Source organism: Homo sapiens, chromosome 2 (assembly GCF_000001405.40).
Source record: "Homo sapiens chromosome 2, GRCh38.p14 Primary Assembly".
NCBI classification, from domain to species: domain Eukaryota; kingdom Metazoa; phylum Chordata; class Mammalia; order Primates; family Hominidae; genus Homo; species Homo sapiens.
In genome coordinates this window covers 215,293,882-215,321,653 of record NC_000002.12, presented here as the reverse complement: position 1 = coordinate 215,321,653, position 27,772 = coordinate 215,293,882, and the positions used below count along the sequence as shown (strand labels likewise).

The window sequence follows — 27,772 nt, the reverse complement described above, 5'->3', positions numbered from 1 at the left end:
AGACAGATAGTAACGTTGATGAGGATGTGGAGAAACTGGAGCCCCATCCAGCACACTGCTGCTGGAAATGTAAAATGGTGCAGCACTCTGAAATACAGGGTCGCAGTTCCTCAAAAGCTAAACATAGTTACCATATGACCAAGGAATTCCACTCCTAGGTATATACCCCAATGAAACGAATGTGTATGTCCACACAAAAACTTATACACAAATATTTATAGCTGCATTATTCATAATATTCAAAAAGTAGAAACAACCCAAATGTCCATCAACAAATGAACTGATAAACAACAGGGTATGACCACACAATGGATTATTTTTCAGCACTAAAAACGAAATGAACTATTGATACTATGCTATAACATGGATAAACCTTGAAAACATGCTAAGTGAAAGAAGCCAGGAACAAAAAAACCATATATTGTTAGATTCTATTTATATGAAAATGTCCACTACAGGCAAATCAGACACGTAACAATTGGTGGTTGCCGAGGCTGGAGGACGTTGGGGAAATGGAGAATAAATGCGTATGGGTATAGGGTTTAGGGTGGGGGTGATGAATATGTTTTAATATTGGATGTGGCAATTAATATGGTTTGGATGTGTGTCCTCTCCAAATCTCATTTTGCAATGTGATCCCCAATGTTGGAGGTGGGGCCTGGTGGGAGATGATTGGGTCACGGGGGAGATCCCTTATGAATGGCTTGGTGCCCTCCCCATAATGAGTCCTCACTCTGAGTTCATGTAGAGCTGGTTGTTTAACAGAGCCGGGCAGGCCGGGCGTGGTGGCTCACACCTAATCCCAGCACTTTGGGAGGCCGGGGTGGGTGCATCATTTGAGGTCAGGAGTTCCAAGAGCAGCCTGACCAACATGGTGAAACCCCATCTCTACTAAAAATAGTAAAAATGAGTTGGGCGTGGTGACAAACGCCTGTAATCTCAGCTACTCAGGAGGCTGAGGCAGGAGAATCACTTGAACACAGGAGGCAGAGGTTGCAGTGAGCCAAGGTCATGCCACTGAACTCCAACCTGAGCAACAGAGCGAGACCCTGTCTCAAAATAAAATTAAATTAAATTAAGAATAAAAGTTAAAAAGTAAAAGAGCTGGGCAACTCCTCCTCTCCCTCTCTCTTGCTTCTTCTCTCATGGGATATGCCAGCTCCCCCTCTGCTTTCCACTGTGATTATAAACTTCCTGAGGCCCTCACCAGAAGTTGATGCTGGCACCACACTTCTTGTACTGTCTATAGAATCACGAGCCAAAATAAACCTGTTTTCATAAATTACCCAGCTTCTAGTATTCCTTTATAGCAATGCAGAACAGACTAACACAGTAATGGTTGCACAACTTCTGTGAACCACTGATTTGTACATTTTAAATTGGTGAGTTGTATGGTATGTGGATTAGATCTCAATAAAGCTGTTACGTATATTTAAGAGAAACAGCCAGTATCTTTATGCAAATAACTCAGTTAGTTGTGCAAGTTGATAATTCCTAATATGAAAACCTGAAATCTGAAATGCTCCAAAATCTGAAACTTTTTGAGCGTCAACATGACACTTGGAGGAAATGCTCACTGAAGCATTTCGGATTTCTGAGGGACGCTCAACTGGCATGTTACCTGCAAATATTCCAAAATCTGAAGAAATCTGAAATCCAAGACACTTCTGGGTCCCAAGCATTTCAGATAAGGGATACTCAACCTATACATACTAAGATTTAGATTGTAACTTCCTAAAAAACTTCAGTATGTATTTTGGTATATAAATCTGGCCAAACCAAAATGCTTACACACATACAAAGTCACACAGAAGGTACGCAGTAAAGGTTTATAGTGAGTAAGAAAACACAGGGACACCAGGTTTGGCATAGTCTTTGTCGTTGGTTCGTAATGTGTTAAAAGTTTAATTTCAGGTTTTTACCTTATAAGATTGAAATCAAGTCTGGCCATGTCAGCATTATCTTCTGGAATATTACGAGCTAGGATTCCTAATTTAAAAAAGTTAAACAAAGTCATTAGCTTCAAAAAACAAGTCAGATTAAGGAATGTCTTTCAACATAGTGTCTTCAATCAAATTAAATCCCATTGATTAAAAAAAAAATTTATTTTTTTGAGATGGTCTCACTCTATCGCCCAGGCTGGATTGTAGTGGCGTAATCACAACTCACTATAGCCCTGACCTCCAGGGCTCAAGTGATCCTCCTACCTCAGCCTCCCAAGTAGCTGGGACTACAGGAATGCATCACCACACCCAGCTGGTCTTTTCAATTTTTTAAAGAGAAGGGGGGTGTTGCCATCTTGCCCAGGGTGATCTTAAACTCCTGGGCTCAAGCGGTTCTCCTGTCTCAGCTCTCCAAGTGCTGGGACTACAGGCAAGAGCCACCATGCCCAGCATAATATTCTTAATTAAAGAATATCAAACATGTAGTTGGGGAGTTATCAAACAAAAAAATTAGGATTAACAGATATATCTGGCTGGCCACAGTGGCTCATGTCTGTAATACCAGCACTTTGGGAGGCTAAGGTGGGGGATCGCTTGAGCCCAGGTGTTCGAGACCAGCCTGGGCAACAAGGTGAGACCCCGTCTCTATAAAAAATACAAAAATTAGCTGGGTGTGGTGGCACATGCCTATAGTCCCAGCTACTTGGGAGGCTGAGGTGGGAGAACTGCTTGAGCCTGGGAAGCAGACAGAGGCTGCAGCGAGCCATGATCGCACCACTGCACTCCAGCCTGGGCAAGAGTATAATCCTGTCTCAAAAAAAAAAAAGAGAGATATATTTAAAAATCTTTTTCTTCAGTTCTTGATCCCAGTTTCTTGAGCAATAAAATGTAAAAAAGGTAAAAGGAATTTTACAAAACTGTTGCTAGTTCCAGAACAGTCTATGCGTTTCTGTAAGTCAATGGCTTGTCTGATGATCTGTAGCCATTCAGCTTTATTCACCAAATTGTACCACAACTGACAAACTAGGAGGATACCAGTTTCTTGCCGTTTCGGTTTATATACAATTCATTCTTAGGTGAACGAACAAATGTAAAGCACTTTGAAAAAAAAAATTCCTTTGCAAGTCAGTTACGCTGTGATGCTTTCTTCTAAGTTTGAACTATTTTAAAAGTATTTTCATACGATGAAATCTAAATATCTTCAGCAACTTGAGCAGGAAACACCAGACTCTAAATTAGGTATCAGGTCAGGACTAATAGCAAGCAGAGGAAAACAATCTGAATTCATCAAGTAGTAAGACAAGCTGGATTTTAAACCAGTTCTAACGTATTATGAAATCTGGCAGCAACTTCATAACATTAACTTTATATGTAAATTTCTCTTGAGCCTTTTTCTTCCTTTATTTTAGGACGCTATCAACTAAAATATTCCTGGAAACCACTGACTGTTTTTACATTAAAGATACCAACCACTTACCAGCATGGACTGCAGGATGCAAAGTTTTCACACGTCCCCCCAACATTTCAGGAAATCCCGTCAACTCAGAGACATCTCTGAAAAACAGATAAACAGAATGGTACTACTGGTGTGGCTGAATTGTAATTTTCACTATTCAAAGCATCTACTGTTTTCATTTCAAGAGATTTTGAGCCTGAATTCAACGTGAAAATTCTGATTTTTTAAAGTATTTCACTATATTTTATTTCTTAAGTAAAATTCTATTTACTTCCGAAAAAAAGTTTATTTAATTTATTTCCTAACTGTTGTGTATGTTCAGGGATAATTGGTAACTACTACAGCACTGGTTTTATAATTTTCAGAGCATTTAGAAACTGAATCATAAGCCATACTCATTAAATATTACTAAGACATACAACTGAGAATTTGGCAGTATGTAACAAAAAGCATTAAAAATATCCTTGGCCGGGCACGGTGGCTCATGGCTGTAAACCCAGCACTTTGGAAGGCTGAGGCAGGTGGATCACCTGAGGAGGGGAGTTTGAGACCAGCCTGGCCAACATGATGAAACCCCAGCTCTACTAAAAAAATACAAAAAATTAGCCGAGCGTGATGGCGGGCACCTGTAATCCCAGCTACTGGGGAGGCTGAGGCAGGAGAATCACTTGAACCCAAGAGTTGGAGGTCGCAGTGAGCCGAGATCATGCCACTGCACTCCAGCCTGGGCGACAGAGCAAGACTCCATCTCAAAAAACAACAACAACAACACATGAAGATGGCATATCAAGTGAGTGAAGACATAAAAGACTGTTTAATAAAGTGGTGTTGCTATTGGAATAACGGGTTAAACCCAAACAAAAATATATTCCTTATGAATCAAAGGTTTAGCATTTAAAAAATCATGCATGTAGCAAAATTAAATATGTGAGGAATGCTTTCCAAGTTTTAAACAAAAGATTGAGAGTTCTGATTACAGAAATGTTAAATAAAAAGTTTTACATGGGAAAAAAAAGTAAACTAGAAAAAATAATCACACAATGTGACAAAGGGTCAAGTGAAGGACAGTAAATATTAATCCATATCACAAAGCAGACCCCTAGAAAGTCGTAACCACGAACACTCTGGCAGACTTTATAAGTTGTAATGGTGTGTAAAAATGCCCACAATATATAAGAAAAAATAAAGCAGGGGCCAGGTGGGGTGGCTCACACCTGTAATCCCAGCACTTTGGGAGGCCAAGGCGAATGGATCACCTGAGGTAAGGGAGTTCCAGACCAGCCTGACCAACATGGTGAAACCCCGCCTCTACTAAAAATACAAAATTAGCCAGGCATGGTGGGGCATGCCTATAATCCCAGCTACTTGGGAGGCTGAGGCAGGAGAATCGCTTGAACCCGGGAGGCGGAGGTTGCAGTGAGCCAAGATTGTGCCACTGCATTTCAACCTGGGCAACAACAGCAAAACTCCGTCTCAAAAAATAAATAAATACATAAAAATAAATAAAGCAGGAAGCAAAACTGCATCTATCTTCTGTGTAAGCTATGAAATAAAGTACATGCTTATAAAAATGCTTGAAGAAAAATATACTAGCATGTTAAGAATTACAATCCATTTTTACTACCTTCTTTATAGTTGTCCATATTTTCGAATTTTCTACAATCAACATATATAGTTTTTGAGATGGGATCTCACTATGTTGCCCAGCCTGGAGTACAGTGATTATTCACAGGCAAGATTACAGTCCATGGCAGCCTAGAACTCCTGGGCTTATTAAGTAATCCTCCAAGTAGCTGAGACTATAATAAACACTTTAAAGCAGCAAGTTCTGCCAGTAAGATACGGAATTTCCTGGGTAGATTCTCCTGTTAAGGGGAGCCATTTGCAAATGACTGGTGTTTGACCAATGACACACACAGTTCCAACATCCACAAACTGGTGACATAAGTGTTTTCAAATTCAAAATTTCTTTTCCTGGGGTTCAGGAAATAAAATCCATTTCCTCCAAATGAAGACAGTCACTTAAAACTTAGAGAAGGCGGATTTATTTCTAGAATTAAACATTTGGGGTAATTAAAAAGCTTGCTACTCCTTTGAACTGAAGAATTTATACATAATGGCTGTAGTCTCGGGAAATAATTCTATGTATGCTCACTGCTGTATACTCACTAATTAAAATCCATCAGTTTACCTCATGACAAGGTAATGGTTAACTTCCTGGGATAAAATTATTGCAGATAACAACACCCAAAAATATGCTCAGAAGCAGCCTCAGAACCAAGATCTTTTTTTTTTTTTTTGAGACAGTGTTTCTCTCTGTCATCCAGGCTGGAGTGTAGTGGTGGAATCTCGGCTCACTGCAACCTCCACCTCCTGGGTTCAAGCAATTCTCCTGCCTCAGCCTCCTGAGTAGCTGGGATTACAGGTGCACGCCACCACACCCGGCTGATTCTTTTTTGTATTTTTAGCAGAGATGGAGTTGCACCATGTTGGCCAGGCTGGGCTCAAACTCCTGACCTCAGATGATCCAGCAGCCTCAGCCTCCCAAAGTGCTGGGATTACAGGGGTGAGCCACTGCGCCCAGCCAGAACCAAGACCTTGTCCAGGCATGGTGGATCACACTTGTAATCCCAGCACTTTGGGAGGCCAAGGCAGGCAAAATTGCTTAAGCCCTAGAGTTCAAGACCAGACAGACAACATGGTGAAACCATCTCTATGAAAAATACAAAAATTAGTTGGGCATGCTGGTGTGCAGCTGTAGTCCCAGATACTCAGGAGGCTGAGGTGGAAGGATTGCCTCAGCCTGGGAGATCGAGGCTGCAATTAGCCATGATTGTGCCACTGCACTCCAGCCTGGGTGACAGAGTAAAACCCTCTAAAAAAATATATATATATAGCTTTCTCCTGCCCTCTTGCCTCTCACCCTTCATTCTTCCCTGAAGTCACAGAAATGAGAATTTCTCTTCCCCAGGGCAGTTTACAGAAACTAAAACTCTTTTTCCCCAAAGCCAGTCATAAGATTTAAACTTATGATTCTAACTTTCCACTGGCTTTCTGTCTAGGAGCTGGACGTAAAGAAATCCTCTCATCTCCTTGCCCATTAGTAGGTCAGGAGATCCTTAGGGGGTGGAGAAAGAATTTTAGAGAAGCCAAGAAGAATCTGGACAGACAGGCTTTCCTGGCTTTCTCCACCTCAGTCTACTAGCATACACCATATCCTTGCTGTCCAATCATACTTCCACCTTTCTGTCCATTCTTTGTTGAACCTAAACATAAAAATGGATGGTTTTTCCTCTGTCTTTGGGTCTTCATTCTGAAGGCTCTCATGTCATGTAAAACTTTGTTAAATAAATTTGTTATGCTTTTCTCTTATTATAACCTGTCTTCTCTTATAAAAATATTGGCCGTGACGTTTACGATGGAGAGCAAAGGATCACACCTTTCCACCCCTACAAAATCTTGGCCTCGGGTGCGGTGGCTCACACCTGTAATCCCAGCAGGCCAAGGCGGGCGATCACTTGAGGTCAGGAGTTCGAGATCAGCCTGGCCAACATGGTGAAACTCTGTCTCTACCAAAAATACAAAAAAATTAGCCAGGCGTGGTGGCGGGCGCCTGTAATCCTAGCTACTTGGGAGGCTGAGGCAGGAGAATCGTTTGAACCTGGGAGGCAGAGGTTGCAGTGAGCTGAGACAGTGCCATTGCACTCCAGCCTGAGCAACAAGAGTGAAACTCTATCTCAGAGAAAAAAAAAAAAAATCTTGGCCTCTTAACTAGCTGTGTAATCTCGAGCGAGTTACTTAACTACGTTGTGCTTAATTTCCTCACCTATAAAATGAGGATAACACTACCTAAACTAAAAAGTTGTTATAAGGACTATAAGAGTTTATATATGTAAAATACCACTGCAACTGAATAAAATACCACTGCAACTGAATGTGGCCTTTGTTGAAGAAAAAACAATTGCTCCAAGTTGTTTACATTTCATTCAGTGAACTTTACTGTGCTGGGGTCTAAATAAATCACTCATGGTGAACTTCTTATCCTTTCATAGAAGAGAAACACATTTACATTTCCAGTTTTTAAAGAAGATATGACCATAATGAAGATAAGTGAGGAGTGGGTATAGGTACAGAAACAAGACTAATCAGTTGATAAGTACCTAAAGTGGGTGACAGATATAGGACCCAAGGGATCATTATACTTTTCTACTTTTGATTGTGTCTGAAATGTTTCCATAATACAAAGTTTGGTGGGGAAAAAAAAGAGACTACAGATGAGGATTTTGCTTTACGAAGGTTCCATTACCATAGGAGGACCCAACTTGGCCCAATGGAAAGCACGCAGGTCTGGACTTTGAATTCTCATTCGGTTGCTGATGAGCAAAGAGCCAACTTGCCTGCCACGATTCTCACAGGTTTCCCATGAAAACCACAGAGACAAGACGCAAAAAGACATCCGAAAATATACAGTTATGTATTTGTTAATAAAGTAAGGCATTCTTACCATCTGAACTTGTTAAACTTAGGGAAGCTGTGTACTGCTCACATAGCTGGGAACTGCACAAAGAAAAGGTAATAACCTACCTCTACATGGATCTAGAAACCAAGAAGCAAATTTTCCACATGGCAACAAAAAGCAGACAGATATCCTTCATCTCTTTCATTCTAAAATATGTTTCAGGGGTGGTCATCTCGTTCCTCCCAACTCTCACTGCCGTTTATTAAATAGCTATCCTATAGTTTTTTTCATTTTTCTACCTTTCAGTAGACTTCCTCCCTCTCCTCCCAGAATGCCACTCCTTGACATCAGCAATGGCATCCTGGTTAATCATTTCTAAGTCCCTTCTTTCCATGGCCTAGTCAGCTAATGAAGGGCTTGTGAACGTGGGAATGAATGATTTGCACCTTCATATGGTTACCAGAGATTCTAAGGGAAGGCAGGTAAATTGGAATCTTCATGATGTCGAGTTTTATTAAATCACCAGTCAAAGTAACTGAAGTTTTCCTTGCATAACAAGTGGCCCACCTAAGTTAATCTGTTTAAGGAAGGGGCTAAGACTAGTGTCCTAAAATCAGGAACAGCACGGGTTCCAATCCTACTTTTCCCTTACTCAACTGTTTAAACTTGTGCAGAAGATGCTAAATCTGTCCAGTGTGTTGTCCAGGGTCTTTCTCTGTCACCCAGGATGGAGTGCAGTAGTGCCATCTCGGCTCACCACAACCTCCGCCTCCTAGGTTCAAGCGATTCTCCTGCCTCAGCCTTCCCAGTAGCTGGGATTACAGGCGTGTGCCACCATACCGGCTAATTTTTGTATTTTTAGTAGAGACGGGTTTCACCATGTTGGCCAGGCTGGTCTCGAACTCTTGACCGTAAGTGATCAGCCCACCTCGGCCTCCCAAAGTGCTGGGATTACATGCGTGAGCCACCTAGCCCAGCCGTCCAGGGTCTTAAAAGTTGCTAAATCTCTCTGAGCCTCACTTTTTTTCCCCATAAAGTGGGGAAGTATTACACCAACCTCACAGCGCTACTGGGAGGAGTAAATAAGGCGTTTTGCTGCTGGTGCCTGGAATACAATACTTCCTGGTTAATGTGATCACACTCCTTTCTGATGGAACTAGCTATGCCTTACCTGACTGCCAGACCAGCATCCCTGAGAGCTTTTGCAGTCCCTCCGGAAGCGACCAGATTCAAACCAAGAGCGGTCAGGTTTCTTGCAAATTCCACAAGGCCGGTTTTGTCAGAGACACTAAATAAGGCTGAAAGAGAAGACATTTTTTCTCATGATTCGCAGCACATTGCACTGTGTTCTGCAAGGCCTTGGGAGGGTCTGGGGGAGGAGATTCTCGAATCGCAAGGCCAGCACCTGGACCCTGCGTTCGCAGGCCTGGTCCGGGCCTCCCCAGGTCTTACACCCGCGAGCTGCTCTAAGGCGGGCCCCACGCAGGCTGCGGCCCGGCCGGGGAGCGGGGACGCTGGCTTTCAATCCCGCAGCGCCGCCCCTGCAGTGCCGGGTCCCGCCGGCCGCCGCCAAGGCGGGAGCGTGGGGGGCCGCAGGCGAGGACGCAGACCGCGCCGCTCCGCTAGGGCCTCACCGAGCTGGCCGGGAGCCATGGCTGCAGGCACTGGGTTCAGGGCGAGCGGGAGGCAGCAGCGGCGGCACCACGTGCGCAGGTAGGAGGGCTGCCGGGATGTGGCGGCTCAGGAAGCGAGGGGGCGGAGCTGTTTCCGGGCTTATCACGTGGCCCGCCGGCCCTGCCCGGCGCCCTGCTCTGCTCAGTTTCAGATGCAAGATCCGCGCCCCGGGGCTGAAGGGAACGGCGGGATGGGGTGGGGCTCTGCCTGGCGCGCCTGGGCGGAGTGCTTGGGCTGGAAGGGATCCTGCCTGCGATCCCGAAGTCCAGGCGTGGGAGCCAGCGATCTGCCCACGACCCCAAAGTGAGGCCACTCCACGGCCTCTGGGGCAAATGCCTGTTATTCTAGGCAGCCGGTCCCCAGAAGCTGGAAAGTACGTAAAAGTGCCAGAAGCTCCCATGCTGAAAACTAAACAAAAGGAATAGTTCATATAGCGGCAAAGCTGGAAAGTATCTGGACAGTTATCTACCATCCTCCCTTTTTGTTTGTTGTTTTTTTGTTTTTCTGGGTTTTTTTGTTTTTTTTGTTTTTTTTTTTTTTTTTTGAGATGGAGTTTCGCTTTTGTTGCCCAGGCTGGAGTGCAATGGCGCGATCTCGGCTATGTCACGTGCAACCTGCAACCTCCACATCCCGGGTTCAAGAGTTTATCCTGCCTCAGCCTCCCGAGTAGCTGGAATTATAGGCAGGCGCCACGATGCCCGGCTAATTTTTGTATTTTTAGTAGACATGGGGTTTCGCCATGTTGGCCAAGCTGGTCTCAAACTCCTGACCTCAGGTGATCCGCCTGCCTCGGCTTCCCAAAGTGCTGGGATTACAGGGGTGAGCCACCATGCCCAACTTGTTTTTTGTTTGTTTGCTTGCTTGCTTGTTTGCTTGTTTGTTTTGAGACAGGGTCTCGCTCTGTCTCCCAGACTGGAGAGCAGTGGCACCATCTCAGCTCACTGCAACCTCTGCCTCCCAGGTTCAAGAAATTCTCCTGCCTCTGCCTCCACACCCGTCTAATTTTTTGTTGTTGTTGTACTTTTTTTTTTTTTTTTTTGTATATTTAGTAGAGATGGGGTTTCACGGTGTTGGCCAGGCCGGTCTTCAACTCCTGACCTCAAATGATCTGTCCACCTCAGCCTCCCAAAGTGCTGGGATTACAGGTGTGAGCCACCGTGCCCGGCCCCATCCTCCTTTTTAATAGGCTTAAAAAATAAAACCAAGGACCAATGATTTAAGTGAGGGACTCCAGAGGCCACAGATGACAGTCAAAACGAAGTGAAATTGACATTCGTTGTTGATTTTCACGTCATAAAATTATAATTTAAATATTAATTTATAATACTATTTTATACAATTTAGTCAGTATTGTAAAAGTGCCTAAAAACTACTTAAAGATGGTGTCTTCTTGCAAACCTGTAAATATTCCTGGATGAGAGGAATGATGACAGTCAAAAGAAGGTAAGAGAAGACCTTTCTTAATTCATTAAAAACAGGGAAAGCAAAATTGAACACATTTGTTTCTTTCTAAAAATGACACCTTTGCCACAAAATAAATACATATTGTGGTCTATGAGTCTTTTTTGTGTTATTAGAATTATATTCCAAAGTAATAGCATTGTTTATCTTTTAGTCTGAGCTCACAGCTGTAAAAATGAGTCTATTTTCTCATTATCTGCATGCTATTTATTTTTGTTTTTCCTCTTCCTTTCTCTAATTCTTCCCATCTCTTTACTCCCCAAAATAAATACCTATTGACTAGAATCAATTTTTTTTTTTTTTTTTGAGACAGAGTCTCGCTCTGTCACCCACACTCTCGCTCTGTCACCCACACTGGAGTGCAGTAGCGCGATCTCGGCTCACTGCAACCTCTGCCTCCCAGGTTCAAGCGATTCTCCTGCCTCAGCCTCCCGAGTATCTGGCACTACAGGCGCGTGCCACCATGCCTGGCTAATTTTTGTATTTTTAGTAGAGATGGGGTTTCGCCATGTTGGCCACGCTGGTCTCGAACTCCTGACCTCAGGTGATCCACCTGCCTTGGCCTCCCAAAGGGCTGGGATTGCAGGCGTGAGCCACCGCGTCCAGCCTGGAATCAATTTTTTGACCTCTAAATATGTTAGCCCTTTGCTCTGAACACTTCTCACATTCCTACGAGGAATATATTAAGATTATCGCATGTCTTCAGTGTGTTTGCCAAATTTGAATTTAAAAAGGATATTTCCTTGGCCAGTCACCATCAGGTTTTTACAGGAAATCGAAAGCAAGGAAAGGAGAAAACAATGCTGACATTTATTGATAAGGGGAAATAAACAGTTGCTTCGGCATTATGCATTTGTCTGTCATGTGAATTACAAATATTTATTCGATTCAATACATTTTTATTGAGCCTTTTCTGCTTGGATGGCAGAAACTCAGTGTCAGAAGACAGATAAATATCACCTAAGCACTGTCCTCAAGGAGCTCATGATGGAATGAAAATGTAGACACATGAAGTATAACTAAAAAATATTAATAGAGGCCGGGTGCGGTGGCTCACACTTGTAATCCCAGCACTTTGGGAGGTGGAGGCGGGCGGATCACGAGGTCAGGAGATCATGACCATCCTGGCTAACACAGTGAAACCCTGTCTGTACTAAAAATACAAAAAATTAGCCGGGCGTGGTGGTGGGCGCCTGTGGTCCCAGCTACTCGGGAGGCTGAGGCAGGAGAATGGTGTGAACCCGGGAGGCGGAGCTTGCGGTGACCGAGATTGCGCCACTGCACTCCAACCTGGGCGACAGAGCGAGACTCTGTGTCTCAAAAAATTAAATAAATAGGCTGGGCGCGGTGGCTCACGCCTGTAATCCCAGCACTTTGGGAGGCCAAGGCGGGCAGATCACGAGGTCAAGAGATCGAGACCATCCTGGTTAACACAATGAAACCCCATCTCTACTAAAAATACAAAAAATTAGCCAGGTGAGGTGGCGGGCGCCTGTAGTCCCAGCTATTTGGGAGGCTGAGGCAGGAGAATGGCATGAACCCCGGGGGGCGGAGCCTGCAGTAAGCCGAGATCGGGCCACTGCACTCCAGTCTGGGCGACAGCGAGACTCCATCTCAAAAAAAAAAAAAAAAGAAGAAAAAATTAAATAAATAAATAATAATAATAGAGAAAACACGGCATTAAACTGATTTTGTAGAGCCTCTTTCATTACAGACTCTTCCATTTACAGATGTTTACTCTGGGGCCTGGTGTAGTGTCTCATGCCTGTAATCCCAGTGCTTTGGGAGGCAGAGGTAGGAGAATCACTTGAGGCCAGGAGTTTGAGACCCACCTGGGCAACATAGTGCATGCCTGCAGTCCTAACTACTTGAGAGGCTGAGGTGGGAGTTCGAGGTTACAGTGAGCTAAGGTTGCACGGCTGCATTTCGGCCTGGGCTACAGAGCAAGACCCTGTCTCTTAAATAAAATAAAATAAAAAAATAACAGGCTAGGAGTGGTGGCTCACGTCTGTAATCCCAGCACTTGGGCAAGCTGAAGCAGGTGGATCACTTGAGGTTAGGAGTTTGAGACCAGCCTGGCCAACAGGTGAAACCCCGTCTCTACTAAAAATACAAAAAGTAAGTTGGGTACAGTGGCTCACGTCTGTAATCCTAACACTTTGGGAGGTCAAGGCGGGTGGATTGCCTGAGCTCAGGAGTTCAAGACCAGCCTAGACAACATAGTGAAACACCGTCTCTACTAAAAAAATACAAAAAATTAGCCAGGCATGGTGGCGGTGCCTGTAATCCCAGCTACTCGAAAGGCTGAGGTGGGAGAATCGCTTGAACCAGGAGGTAGAGGTTGCAGTGAGCCAAGATAGTGCCACTGCACTCAAGCCTGCACTATAGAGCGAGACTCTGTCTCAAAAAATAAAAATAAAGATATTTACTCTGATTAATTCTCCCATAGTTTTAGCATCCCGACTTGATAGGACTTAATATGTTAATGACAAAAAGAGTAAATGAATTTTTTACTAGCTTTGTGATCCTGGCCAAGTCACTCCATCTTTTGGGGACCTTTGTTGCTTTACCTGTAATATGGACATAATATTTTTTCTGCAGTCCTCATCATATTTTAAGAAGCGAATTAAGTACAGGTAGTCTACTGAAAGTACAAACTGCAAAGAGACTAAGAAGAGTAAAATAGAGGTGTAATCTTCTTGGTTCCCTTGGTCTGGCTAATCAGGTATCTTTCTGGGCACCAAGGTATGTCTTCAAAGATCTAGTCACCAGCAAGCTAGTGTCTTAGAAAAGGGAGATGTTCTCATAAAGATGAGAATGCATCTTTTACCAATGGTTTATCGCAGGATTATTGTTTCAGAAAGACAGAAAGGGCGTGTATACACTATAATGATTACATTTTCATTTCTTCTTACTTCACATACCTCCAAAGAGAAGCTTGAAGACCCTAAAATCATAGTAATATACCTTAAAATATTTAATGTACATGAATTGTTTCAGTTCTTTGAAGGTGTTATAATCTGATTTTGCCCCTATGTTGTTTGTTTCTTGTGTAAATTCATCACTTTTTTTTTTTTTTTTTTTGAGACGGAGTCTCGCTCTCACTCTGTCACCCAGGCTGGAGTGCAGTGAAGCAATCTTGGCTCACTGCAAGCTCCGCCTCCTGGGTTCACGCCATTCTCCTGCCTCAGCCTCCCAAGTAGCTGGGACTACAGGCACCCGCCACCACATCCGGCTAATTTTTTTTGTATTTTTAGTAGAGACAGGGTTTCACCATGTTAGCCAGGATGGTCTTGATCTCCTGACCTTGTGATTCGCACATTTCGGCCTCCCAAAGTGCTGGGATTACAGGTGTGAGTCACCGCGCCTGGCCAAGCTCATCACTTTCTTTGAAAAACCTCCATCTCCCTTCCAAGTCTTGGATCTCCTATTGGACTCTAACGATTAATAAAGCTGCATCATCTTGGGCTGACTTGCTCCAAGGGTTTGTCCACTCAAGTGGATGTAGTTTATCATATAAAGGGATTCCCAGGAGCTTGGTATAAAATTCCTCTCTACTGTAGTTCAGAACATTAAGCTAATTTATGACCTAGTATGAAATTCAAACATTTTTCTTGAAAGTCCTGGAGATGTTTGGAGATATAAAGCTGACAATAATACAAAGAATGAATTGGAATAGTAGGAAGTAGAGAAACTGGTTAGGAAGGTTTTGCATCCACTCACACATAAGAAGGTGGAAAAGAGGTTATCTATGTGAGACGATTCAAAATAGGTAAAATTAGCAGCATGCAGGGATCAGTGACATATAGGAAATATTAGACACAAAAAACTAGGGATGATTCCATCATTTCTAGCTTCGTCATATGAGTAGCTGGTGAGGCAACACCCAAAATATAAAAATATATGTAAGAGAAAGAACAGTTGTGGCATGTGTTTATTTTAATTTAAGGTCAGTGTGAGTGGTTGGGTAAATAAGTTTGAGTTTCTAAATATTGATTTTAAAGTCTAGGTAATTGGTGCACACAGTTAAAATCATACAGCAAATTGTTGGAAATACAAATGAAATTCAGGAATAAAAGTGAGGTTAAAGATAAATAAACGTGGAAAATTAATGAAATTCAAGTAGTAGTTGAAGCCTGGAAGAAGATAAGCTTGCTTAATTAGGTCTAGTAGATAACCCGAGCGACAAAAAAAGCTAAAGAAAGAAAATTCATTCAGGAAGGCATTTAATGTTTTTTGGTTTTTTGAGACTGAGTCTTGCTCTGTCACCTAGGCTGGAGTGCAGTGACGCGATCTGGGCTCACTGCAACCTCTGCCTCCTGGGTTCAAGCAATTCTCCTGCCGAGTAGCTGGGATTACAGGTGCATGCCACCACGCCCGGCTAATTTTTGTATTTTTAGTAGAGACAGGGTTTCACCATGTTGGCCAGGCTGGTCTTGAATTCCTGACCTCAAGCGATCTACCCATCTCGGCCTCCAAAAGTACTGGTATTACAGGCATGAGCCACTGTGGACCACAGGTGAAGAGACACTTTATCCTTTTGGATAAAATAAAGCAGAGAAGAGGGACAGGGCAGAGGTAGCTGCACCTTTAGGAAGGCCTGGCAGAGAATTTCTTACTGACAAGGTACATTTGAGTGAGGACTGGAGGGCTGGGTGGGGGATAACAAGCCACAGGGTATTTGAAGGAGAAAGTTCCAGGCAGTGGGAACAAGTGCAAAGGCCGTGCATAGGGAGTGTGGCTGTAGTGTCTAAGGAATGTCAGGAAGGGTGGTATGGTAGCAACAGAGGGAACTTCACTAGGAGAAGGAAGACACAATGTCAGCAATCGGGTTGGATAAGGCCGTGTGGGCACATCGTAAAGACTTCGGCTTTTATTCTGAATGAGAAAGGAAGCCCTTGGAGAGTTTTGGGAAGGAGTGACATCTAATTTACCTCTTTCACACACTCACTCTGGTTGTATGAGAGCAAAGGTGGAACAGGGGAATCCCTACGAAAGCTCTCACAATGATCCAGGACCTTGACACTAGGTGAAAGATGAGGGTGGCACGGCCCAGAGTGGCAGCAGTGGACATTGGAGGAGGTAATTAAATCCCAGATATATTTTGAAGGAAGAGCCAATAAGATTTGTTGACAAATTGGATGCCAAGTTTGAGAGGAAGAGAAGGAGCATTGATGATCGCTTGTACAGCTGGAAGAATAAAGTTGACATCAGCTGAAATTGGGAAGGATACAAATGTAGTAGCCCTGGGGGGAAGAACAGGGTTAAGTGTAGGACACTGGATACCTATGATACTGTGTGTCAAATACTGCCAGCAGGTTAAGTCTGATGAGGACTGAGAGTAACCATTAGATGTTGGATTATCCTGACAAGGACACATTTGGGGAAGTGGTAGAGATGAGGGTCTGGCTGGAGTAGGTTCAAGAGAGAATGAGGGGGCTGGGCATGGTGGCTCACACCTGTAATCCCAGCACTTTGAGAGGCTGAGGTGGGCGGATCATTGATGTCAGGAGCTTGAGACCAGCCTAGCCAACATGGTGAAACCCGTCCCTACTAAAAATACAAAAATTACCTGGGTGTGGTGGGGCGCACCTGTAATCCCAGTTACTTGGGAGACTGAGGCACGAGAATCACTTGCATCTGGAAGACTGAGGTTGCAGTGATCCATTGCACTCCAGCCTGGGCAACAAAGCAAGACTCTATCTCAAAAAAAAAAAAATGAGACACAAAGAGGGAAGGAATTGGAGATGTGGAATAAAGATGACACTTTTAAGGAGTTTTGCTCTTAAACAGGGTTTGTCAACCTCAAAACTATAGACATTTTGGAGCGGATAATGCTTTATTGTGTGTGTGTGGCGGGGGGAATGGGGGGTGTGTCGTGAGCATTTCAGGATGTTTAGTAGTATCCAAGCCTTCTACCACTAGATACCAGTAGCACCCCTACTCCAGTTGTGACAACCAGAAGTGTCTCCAGACATTGCCAAATGTCTCCTGTGGGAAAAATTGCCCCCAGATGAGAACCACTACTCTAAAAGGAGAGTAGAGGAATAGGGTGGTAGCTGGTGGTACAAGTGGGTCCAGGGAGCTTATTGACATTTTGTTTTTGTTTTTTTTGATATAGGGTCTCACTCTGTTGCCCAGGCTGGAGTGCAGTGGTACCATCACAGTTCACTGCAGCCTCGACCTCCTGGACTCAAGATCCTCCTTCCTCAGCCTAGCAAGTAGTTGGAACTACAGATGCACGCCATCACATCTGGCTAATTTTTTGTAAAGACTAGGTGTCACTATGTTACTCTGGGCTTAAGTGAGCCTCCTGCTTTCAGCCTCCCAAAATGTTTGGATAACAGGTGTGAGCCACCACACTCAGCCTTGTTTTTTCTTAATCTGAAAGAATAATCACATTTGTTTGTCCATAACACTGATCGATTCAGTAGTGAAGAGGGAAATCTGATAATGCAAGACAGAAGCAAGTCTTATTATAGAGGGATCTACTTAGGGACTGTGGGTGGGGAGGGAAAAGCTTCTTCAAGGAAATAATTTTTTCTTTTTTTAGACAAAGTTTCACTCTTTTGCCCAGGCTGGATGCAGTGGTGCGACCTCAGCTCACTGCAACCTTCACCTACTGGGTTCAAGCGATTCTCCCACCTCAGCCTCCCAAAAAGCGGGGAGTACAGACGTGTACCATCACACCCAGCTAATTTTTGTATTTTTAATAGAGACAGAGTTTATCCATGTTGGCCAGGCTGGTCTCGAACTCCTGGACTCAAGTGATCCAGCCACCTCAGCCTCCCAAAGTGCTGGGATTATAGGTGTGAGCCACAGCACCTGGCCTCTGCCTCTTATTTTAGATTACTTATGTCAACCACTTAACTCCAGTCTCTATCATATCTCACACTTGGCTGAATAGCCACCATCAGCATTAATAGTTGTTACAGCTTTCTCAGCACCTGGACTCCTACTACCAATGTTTCTACGAATAAAATGTCAGAATGAATCCAAGAACAAATAGATCTTATGTTACCTCTGTCTCTAAAGGCTTTCTTGATTGCTGTATCCTCCATGTGGTGGATTGATTGTTTCCCCTTTTTTGATGCAGGAGCTTATTTAATTGTAACACCTGTAGCATTGAATTTCACTCATTTGTCTGTTTCCTTTCTTCCTTTTTTTTTTTGAGACGGAGTCTCGCTCTGTCACCCAGGCTGGAGTGCAATAGCATGATCTCGGCTCACTGCAAGCTCTGCCTCCTGGGTTCATGCCATTCTCCTGCCTCAGCCTCCCGAGTAGCTGGGACTACAGGCACCCACCACCACGCCAGGCTAATTTTTTGTATTTTCAGTAGAGACAGGGTTTCACCATGTTAGCCAGGATGGTCTCGATCTCCTGACCTCGTGATCCACCCAACTCGGCCTCCCAAAGTGCTGGGATTACAGGTGTGAGCCACTGCACCCGGCCCCTTTTTTTCTTTTTTTAATGTTAAACAGATAATGTGCCAATGTCCTGATGTTGTAACAAGGTTGTTTTTTGTTTGTTTGTTGTTGTTTTTGAGACAGAGACTTGCTCTGTTGCCCAGACTGGAGTGCAGTGACACAATCTCTGCTCACTGCAACCTCAGTCTCCTGGGTTCAAGTGATTCTTGTGCCTCAGCCTCCCAAGTAGCTGGGATTGTGGGTGCAGGCCACCATGGCTGGCTGATTTTTGTATTTTTAGTAGAGATGGGTTTCGCTATGTTGGCCAGGCTGGTCTCGAACTGCTGGCCTCAAGAAATCCACCCATCTTGGCCTCCCAAAGTGCTGGGATTACAGATGTGAGCCACCATTGTAACAGGGTTTGAGGAAGGTATTTCTCACAGATGCATGTGAAAACCCAAACTTCATGCTTATGAACTGCAAAAGGATCACACTCATTTCTTTTTAAGCTGTCTGCCCCTTCACGCTGAACCCCTCTTTATGGGCAGGGACTACATTTTTTTTCTCTGTGCTTATCTGAGTGCCTAATAAAATAACTAGTAGATAACACACCAACTATAAACACTTAAAAGATCTATCTCTACTACTCTCTACTCTTAGTACCCATCACCTCCAATTCATGGACACAGACATTCATTCACAGAGATTTGGGGACCTGGTTCACAGTGTTTGTGTTCTACTTCAACTCCTACATTATTTTGGTAAGGTCAATATCCCCATCAATGGCTCATTGAATATCCTTGCATTTCGATTCTCTGATTCCAAGAATGAGGAAGATACCCTAAATACTTTACATCAATACCAATGTGTGGGTGTTAATGCCTTAGAACTATCCTTGAGAAAGTCCTATAATTATGTTATTATAATTAGAATTTCAATATGAGTTTTTACCTATTAATGACATTAAAACCAAATAAAAATATATTATTTTTAGGTGAACCATAATTTATTGTCCAAACCAGAACAAATTTTACAATCTCTGCCTCTTAGTTTGATTGTTTAGTCCATTTACATTTAATGGTTTTTGTTGGTGGTGGTGGTGTTTTGAGACAGGATCTCGCTCTGTCACTCAGGCTAGAGTGCAGTGGCACAATCATAACTTACTGCACACTCGAATTCCTAGGCTTAAGCAATCCTCCCACCTCAACCTAGCTAATTTTTAAATTTTTTATTCTTTGTAGAGACAAGGTCTTGGTATGTTGACCAGGCTAATTCTCAAACTCCTGGGCTCAAGCAGTCTTCCCACCTCAGCCTTCCAAAGGGCTGGAATTACAGACATGAGCCACTGTACCTGGCCCACATTTAATGTTATTATTGATATATTTGATTATGCCATTTTGCTATTTGTTTTCTATATGTCTAACTTTTTTTGTTCCTCTGTTTCTTCTTTAACGTCTTTTTTTGTATTAGGTGGATATTGTGGGAAAATTTTTCCTATCTCTTAGAAAGAAGCTTAAGGAAAATGCAATGCCTTTTCCTCTATGGAAATGGTTATAGTAATAGTCGCAGCCATCCTTTGACTATTTTTGCATTTTTAGTAGAGACCTCAAGAGAGAGAATCTTGAGGTTTAAGAAAGATGAGAGGAGCCTGGAGTTTTTTATGCCATTATGAAGGCTTTGAATTAACCAAATCTTGGGCCGTCCTACTTTCAAACATTATTATTTGAGTAAGCAATGTCATTTTTATGGAAGGCAGTTGATTTGAAATCTACAGAAGTAACTTAAAACACCCTAAAAGATTTTTAAAAACAAATGAATATACTTGTTTCAGAAACACACTAGCAAAGGATAGCATGGACCTGCACCTAATGTAATGTGTTGCTGACCATTGAACTAACTATCTAGACCTGCACTGTATTATAGTAGCCATGAGCCACATGTGATTATTGAGCACTTTGAAACGTGGCTAACCTGAATTGAGAAGTTCTGTAAGTATAAAACAAACACCACATTCTGAAGACTTAGACAAGAACAGTAATAATATAAAATATTTCTAATAATTTTAATTGATTACATGTTAAAATGACAATATTTAAGATATATTGGGTTAAATGCAATATATTAATAAAATTAATTTATTTTTTTCTCCTTAGTTTTTAAATGTGGCCACTAGAACATTTAAAATTACATATGTCGGCCAGGCGCGGTGGCTCATGCCTGTAATCCCAGCACTTTGGGAAGCTGAGGCGGGCAGATCACCTGAGGTCAGGAGTTCAAGACCAGCCTGGCCAATGTGGTAAAACCCCATCTCTACTAAAAATACAAAAATTAGCCCGGCATGGTGGCACATGCCTGAAATCCCAGATACTCGGGAGGCTGAGACAGGAGAAGCACTTGAACCCAGGAGGTGGAGGTTGCAGTGAGCCGAGATGGTGCCACTGCACTCCAGCCTGGGTGACAGAGTAGACTCTGTCTCAAATAAATAAATAATAAAATGAAATTACATATGTCATCCCCATTATATTTCTAGTGGACACCACTGATCTAGATGGAATCTAAGAATTGTCTGTCAGTTGCTAGCTGAGATAAGACATAGAATTTCTTGAAAAGGTTTACATTAACACTTTTTAAATATTATTTATATAGCATGATTCAACTGTAAGTTACAAATTTTGGTAATTATCTGAAATTTAAAAAGTGGTAACCAATATATACTTGGTTTTGCCAGAATTCATAAAAAAATCCAGAGACTTAGAACTGATTGTATAGAATCTAGTTTGCATAAATTCAGGATTTTGGTACCAGACCCTTATAGATATACTCCTCATATCTTACTCCTGTGTCTAAGTTACCAAGTAATATACAGGGAAAAAGTTACTAAATAATAATCAGGGATCTTTAGATCAGAAATGTAAGTTCCTTTGATTCTAAAAATCCTAGATTTTGAGTTCTATGATTGGCTATGTTTCTAATAACAAGAAAAGCCAAATTAAAACTTTATTTTAAAAGTGTAATTTGGCCGGGCACAGTAGCTCAGGCCTGTAATGCCAGCACTTTGGGAGACTGAGGTGGGCGGATCACCTAAGGTCAGGAGTTCGAGACCAGCCTGTCCAACATGGTGAAACCCCATCCCTACTAAAAATAAAAATTACCTGGGCATGGTGGCAGGTGCCTGTAATCCCAGCTACTTGGGAGGCTGAGGCAGGAGAATCGCTTAAACCTGGGAGGTGGAGGTTGCAGTGAGCCGAGATTGTGCCACTGCACTCCAGCCTGGGCAACAGAGGGAGACTCCGTCTCAAAAAAAAAAAAAAAAAAAAAAAAAAAGTGTAATTAAAAAAGACCCAAAAGAATAAAAGTGTAAATAACATTAGAAAAAAGTATAACAGGGCCTGTGTTATGGGCTAAATTGTGTCCCTCCAAATTCACATGTTGAATACTAGCCCGCAGTACTATGTGGAGAGATAATGTGACTATATTTAGAGATGGGGACTTTAAAGAGACACTTAAGTTTAAATGAGGTCATGGGGGTGGGTCCTAATTCAAAATGACTGGTGTCCTTATGAGAAATGGGAGAGCCACTGGGAATGCGCCCCCACGGAGGAAAGGTTATGTGAGGACACAGCAGGAAGGCAGCCATCTGCCAGCCAAGGAGAGAGAAGCCAGAAGAAACCAAACCTTCCATTACCTTCATTTTGAAATTCTAGCCTCCAGAACTGTGAGAAAATTATTCCTCTGGTTTAAGCCAGTCAGTATATAGTATTACGTTATGGCAGCCCTAGTAAACTATGGCGGCCGCAGTAAAGCCTTAGTAACCTCCAGCCTGATACAGACTATCCTTGTATTTCCATAAAGGACTCTGAGGAGGTGGGCAAACTGTGTCCTTTCCCACATGCTTGAGGGCTGAAAAGTGATCACCACGTGAAAGTGTTGTTTTATCTTAGGGTTGCTTGCCAATATGTCGATGTTGTAATTTTCAAAGTAAAATAATTGAATATATACATGGATTTAAAAGTATATATCATGGCTGAATACCTGGGAAAGTAAATTTCCACATTTTAAGGATTTTCAAAAAACCTCATTTGCATTAAGTTTTAAGGAAAATAATTTGTATGGATTTATTTATACAACTTTATTGAATAAAATATACTGATGTCTAGCAATGTATATATGCCCATTACAAATGTATGGCTATGACAATGTTCATTATAAATACATAGCTAACAGTTATATATCACTACCACATGCCACACACTGTTCTCTACACTTTACATAGATGAATTCATTTAATCAGATGTACTTTCTTAGAATTTATTTATAAAAAATGAAACCTTTAATAATACATCATATTTTCAGAACTTGGAACCACTATCCTACGCATTTCAAAAGAAAAGTTCAGTCTACAAAGGTTAAACTAAAATCCTCCATCTAATATCTGGAAAAGCTCCATATAAAAATCAATAGCAAAAGAAAAATATTTTGGATCACTTGGAACAATAAGAGCATGATAAAATACTTGGATGTTTTTCTTGGGGCAGAAAATGTGTCACCCTTCAGGAGTAAGAAGAAAGACTCTATATGCTCAATTATAAGACGAAACACAATTGTCATCTGTCATATATCTTCTTTACTTTCAACAATCTAGTTTAGGATTAAGATTAAATATCAGACCCAAGAGACCACACATTGCATCTATTTGTTATCAAACCTGGATGTCAGAAGACCTTTCAAGCAGAAGCAAAACTTGGGAATAGCATCAGTATAATTTATTATCACTTTTTTATCAATAAATGTTAAAGGATGTCAACCATAAATAAATACAAATTTTAAGTTCAAGTATTGTGAAACCCCTAACATAATTTTATACTTTTAAAAAATATATATTTTTTCTTTTATTTCCCCATATCTACTCTGAAGGAATAAAACATAATTTACTTCAGTTCTTTAATGCTAGGTTTTCTTTTCTTTTTTTTCTTTTTTTTTTTTTTTTGAGATGGAGTTTCGCTCTTCTTGCCCAGGCTGAAGTGCAATGGCACAATCTTGGCTCACCACAACCTCCGCCTCCTGGGCTCAAGCGATTCCCCTGCCTCAGCCTCCTGAGTAGCTGGGATTACAGGCATGCACCACCACACCCGGCTATTTTTAGTAGAGATGTAGTTTCTCCATGTTGGTCAGGCTGGTCGCGAACTCCCAACCTCAGTTGATCCGCCGGCCTCAGCCTCCCAAAGTGCTGGGATTACAGGCGTGAGCCGCTGCGCCGGGCCAATGCTAGGTTTTCAATCAGCGTTTAAGAATGTGTTTCTTTTGTTTGCTTTTGGAGTTGACTCAGCATGGATATGAATAGCAGATGGATATGAATAGCAGGAGTACGGGGGCAAGGACTGGGTTCTTAAATCAGCATAATAAAGAATAAACAGGCAGGGTGCCATGGCTCAGGCCTATAATCCTAGTACTTTGAGAGGCTGAGGTGGGAGGATCCCTTGAGCCCAAGAGTTCAAGACCAGCCTGGGCAACACAGTGAGACCCTGTCCCTAAGGAAAAAAAAAATTAGCTGGGCTTGGTGGGTGCACACCTGTAATCCCAGTTACTCAGGTGGCGGAGGTGGGGGCATTGCTTGCGCCCAGGTTGAGGCTGCAGTAAGCCACTGCACTTCAGCCTGGACTACAGAGCAAGACCCTATCCTTCAGCCTGGACTACAGAGCAAGACCCTATCTAAAAAAAAAAAAAAAAAAAAGAGAGAGAATAAACATGATTCTTGCCCTCAGGAAAAACTTTTGTGTTGACTAAAGGGAAAGGAATCTAGAAAGAGCTACATTTAAATAAACGTTTTGTGTTTAAAAAATACTTTCATTTTTAAGGGTGGTGCAAGCTAGAAAGGAGAGAGGATCTACAGTTAACAGAACATAAATGTGAGTTATTCAAGTGTCCATAGCACAAATTCATTTATAGGCTTGCTCCTTCTCACCAAAACTTTATGTTTGCAAAGATGTTAAAGACAAGGTAATGGAAATGGAGGCAAGGAGGGCATTGAGGACATTCAGGCTTAACAAGGGTGGAGAAACGGAGAAGGTTAAGGAGGTGCAAGCACGGAAGAACACTCCAACCTTTCCTTGCTTAGATTATTCTCCATATATTCTTTCTTTTTTTTTTTTGGGACGGAATTTCACTCTTGTCGCCCAGGCTGGAGTACATGGCGCGATCTCCATTCACTGCAAGCTCCGCCTCCCACGTTCACGCCATCCTCCTGCCTCAGCCTCCCGAGTAGCTGGGACTACAGGCGCCTGCCACCACGCCCGGCTAATTTTTTTTTTTTTTTTTTTTTTTTTTTTTTTTTTTTTTGAGACGGAGTCTTGCTCTGTCGCCCAGGCTGGAGTGCAGTGGCGCGATCTCAGCTCACTGCAGGCTCTGCCCCCCGGGGTTCACGCCATTCTCCTGCCTCAGCCTCACGCGTAGCTGGGACTACAGGCGCCCGCCACCTCGCCCAGCTAATATTTTGTATTTTTAGTAGAGACGGGGTTTCACCGTGTTAGCCAGGATGGTCTCGATCTCCTGACCTCGTGATCCGCCCGCCTCGGCCTCCCAAAGTGCTGGGATTACAGGCGTGAGCCACCGCGCCCGGCCTCCACGTATTCTTTATGCAATGCGTTCATGCAGTTGTTCCACAAGAAATATTAAGCGAATCCACAGAGAAGCATCTCCTCATGGGTAATGAAGGAGGTTGATTTATTTCTAGGAGCTGTGCTCCCAGGAGAACACACCACCACTAGGGAGCGGTAAAGGTTGTTCCCTGGGGCATCAGTAGCAACTCAGAATTTCAAAGACAAGGACAACCAACTACATTTGCACAATGACTTCCAGTTAATGAAGTGCTCTTATCAATCATTTTCATTATAACCCAAAGACGGACATTCTATTCCTACTCCTATTTTTGAGATGCAGAAAATGAAGACCTGAAGAAGCTCTAAGGTCACAGGGCCAGGAAATGGTAGAGTTGAAACTGCTTTTTCTTACTCTGAAGTCTGATGCTTGGGCTAATTAGGTATAGAGAACTAATGATTAAAAGACACCCTCCTGGGCTGGGCGCAGTGGCTCATGCCTATAATCTCAGCACTTTGGGAGACCAAGGCAGGAGGATCACTTCAGTTCAGGAGATCAAGACCAGCCTGGCCAATGTGGCAAAACCCCACCTCTACTAAAAATACAAAAATTAGCTGGACGTGGTGGCGCGTGCCTGTAATCTCAGCTATTTGGGAGGCTGAGGCATGAGAATCACTTGAACCCACAGGATGGAGGTTGCAGTGAGCCCAGATCGCACCACTGCACTCCAGCCTGGGCAACAGATCAACACTGTGTCACTAAATAAATAAATAAATAAAAGACACCCTCCTGGAGCATAAATTTCAGCCCGGAAAGGAGAAACCACTGAATTTTGGAATTCTAATGTGTGCCATTGCTTTTCTATCTTTGTTGTTGCTGAGGATAGGTATTCCGTCCTTATTTTTGAGAAGTATTACATTCCACATTAAGGTGCATTCTAATTTTAGAAAATTGAAATATAAAAAATAAAAAACACGCTATAAACTTCAGAATATAGTATCTATAAACCATTCAAATATCCTTTTTTAGCGTGTGTTGACAATCTTTTAGAGAAAGCAGCACAGTGGGACCGTGAGTCTATGCTCCTGTCATCCTTGGCCTCGTGTCTTCCTAATGCTCCCTCTTTTTGGTTCTTATTGAAATGTGTTCATTTTAATCTCATTGCCCTAGGGCCAATACTCATTCGAAATTTCAAAGTGATGCTTGTCAGATCACTCCTGATTCATTAGCAAAGCTAGGGTAGAATCCTTTCATTTCCTTCCCTTCTCCCTTATTCCTTTTAAAAAGGCAATGTCCATTTTTAGATCAGGTCGTAGTGGTAGTTGGTATCAAAAGAGAAGATATTAAGGTGGAGGTGGACTTTGCAACACCTTTCAATAATGCTATGGGGGTGGATATGTTCTCCACCCTTATTATGTTGCATCCTTACGCCTACCTCTTTCTTGCCTTACATATTTTTCCCCCGGCTGATGATGACCAGGCAATTCTAGTAAGTAGGAATTGTGATTGCTTTGATAGCTAGGGTTTTTGAAGGATTGAGAAACCATGGGCTAATATTGAAATGAAGAAATTAGATTAGATCATCTGAAAAGTTCATTCATTCGACAAATATTTATACAATACCTACCGTGTCTTGCACATAGATTGGCTCTGGGAACATTAAGGTAAATAAATAGTTTTCAGACAAAAAAAAAAAACTTTCCAATGATATCTGCCAAGATCAAGACAGTGCCAACATTAAATGCAAAATGGCTGTCAGTAGCTTAGCAGAAATCCTTTCTCCCAGCTTCGTTACAGAAGGAAGTATTAGTGAAACACCCTTTTAGCAAATATTGCACTGTCAATTCTCTCTCTCTCTTTCTTTTTTCTCCAACGTGGAGACTTGCTCTGTCGCCCAGGCTAAAGTGCAGTGGCGTGATCTCCACTCACTGCAACCTCTGTCTCCCAGGTTCAAGCAATTCTCCTGTCTCAGCCTCCTGAGTAGCTGGGATTAGAGATGCATGCCACCATGCCCCGCTAATTTTTTTTTTTTTTTTTCAGTAGAGATGGGGTTTCACCATGTTGGCCAGGCTGGTCTTGAGCTCCTGACCTCATGAACCGCCTGCCTCGGCCTCCCAAGGTGCTGGGATTACAGGTGCGAGCCACCGTGCCCCACATATTGTCAATTCTCTTGATGGTACACTGGGAGTTATTGTGCAGAGAAACATGGAAATTGAAAAATCTAAATTTGTGGGAGCCAGCCTCCAAAATAGTCCCCAATAATGCTCATCTTCCATCTTCTCACCTTTGGGTGGTTCTATCTCATGTTGTAGCAGGGTTGGTTGGTGGGCCCTGTAACTTACTGTGAAAATGATGGGGCAGCTTCCATCTCAGGCTCTCACTTCCTTTCCCTCTCTCTTGGATCACTGGCTCAGGAGAAGCCAGCTGTCATTCTGTGAACAGCCCTCTGAAGAAGCCCGAGTAGCCAGGAACTGGTTTCCAGCCAATAGCCAGCAAGGACCTGAGGCCGGCCAACAGCTATGTGGGTGAGTTGGGAAGGTGATTCCCCAACCCTGGTCAATCCTGCAGAAGACTGCACCCTCAGCTAACAGTGAGACACAGCCTCATGAGAGGCCCCCAGCCAGAACCAGCCAGGTAAACCACTCCTGGACTTGGAACCCACAGAAATAGATAATCAACGTTTGTGGTTTTAAGCTTCTGAACTTGAGAGTACTTTGTTATACAGCTAATATAGGTTTGAAACAAAATGTGTTTCAGAGGAGTCGGACTCTGAATACAA

General features: G+C 42.8%; 1 protein-coding gene, 1 long non-coding RNA gene and 1 other non-coding gene across 9 annotated transcripts in view, besides 4 other annotated features; 1 reads left to right on the top strand and 2 right to left on the bottom strand.

Annotated features, from left to right (window-relative positions):
• ATIC (5-aminoimidazole-4-carboxamide ribonucleotide formyltransferase/IMP cyclohydrolase) overlaps positions 1 to 9,595 on the bottom strand; it is a 56,534-nt gene extending 46,939 nt beyond the window's left edge. For 6 of the 7 annotated variants that reach the window (XR_007075419.1, XR_007075418.1, XM_047444489.1 and 3 more), the window contains exons 1-4: positions 9,493 to 9,595; positions 9,030 to 9,156; positions 3,421 to 3,497; positions 1,923 to 1,989 (exon numbers count right to left, since the gene is read on the bottom strand). Coding sequence is in view for 5 of the 7 variants with exons in the window: in XM_047444489.1 (XP_047300445.1) it covers positions 1,923 to 1,989; positions 3,421 to 3,497; positions 9,030 to 9,156; positions 9,493 to 9,511 (290 nt within the window). In the remaining 2 variants the exon portion in view is untranslated. Of the gene's footprint in view, positions 1 to 1,922; positions 1,990 to 3,420; positions 3,498 to 9,029; positions 9,157 to 9,263; positions 9,358 to 9,492 lie in introns of those variants that run through there. The other variant, XM_047444491.1, reaches the window with a different exon arrangement.
• Positions 9,241 to 9,891: an enhancer, noted in NCBI's record as "H3K27ac hESC enhancer chr2:216176486-216177136 (GRCh37/hg19 assembly coordinates)". NCBI's record gives its function as "activates a minimal SCP1, AML or CMV promoter by ChIP-STARR-seq in naive H9 embryonic stem cells {active_cell/tissue: H9 hESC(naive)}" and the evidence as "EXISTENCE:reporter gene assay evidence [ECO:0000049][PMID:30033119]".
• Positions 9,251 to 9,620: a silencer, noted in NCBI's record as "silent region_12298". NCBI's record gives its function as "represses an Ori minimal core promoter by ATAC-STARR-seq in GM12878 lymphoblastoid cells {active_cell/tissue: GM12878}" and the evidence as "EXISTENCE:reporter gene assay evidence [ECO:0000049][PMID:35858748]".
• Positions 9,631 to 9,710: a silencer, noted in NCBI's record as "silent region_12297". NCBI's record gives its function as "represses an Ori minimal core promoter by ATAC-STARR-seq in GM12878 lymphoblastoid cells {active_cell/tissue: GM12878}" and the evidence as "EXISTENCE:reporter gene assay evidence [ECO:0000049][PMID:35858748]".
• On the top strand, positions 9,682 to 17,995 carry LOC124907975 (uncharacterized). Its single transcript, XR_007088075.1, has 2 exons — positions 9,682 to 10,975; positions 17,115 to 17,995. It is a non-coding gene; the product is annotated as an uncharacterized LOC124907975 (long non-coding RNA).
• Positions 17,996 to 18,789: 794 nt separating this feature from the next.
• Positions 18,790 to 18,888, bottom strand: LOC124906184 (small nucleolar RNA U13). The gene has a single exon (XR_007088768.1). It is a non-coding gene; the product is annotated as a small nucleolar RNA U13 (small nucleolar RNA).
• Positions 27,474 to 27,768: a silencer, noted in NCBI's record as "tiled region #4788; K562 Repressive DNase matched - State 6:EnhF". NCBI's record gives its function as "represses a minimal TATA promoter and a strong SV40 promoter by Sharpr-MPRA in K562 cells {active_cell/tissue: K562}" and the evidence as "EXISTENCE:reporter gene assay evidence [ECO:0000049][PMID:27701403]".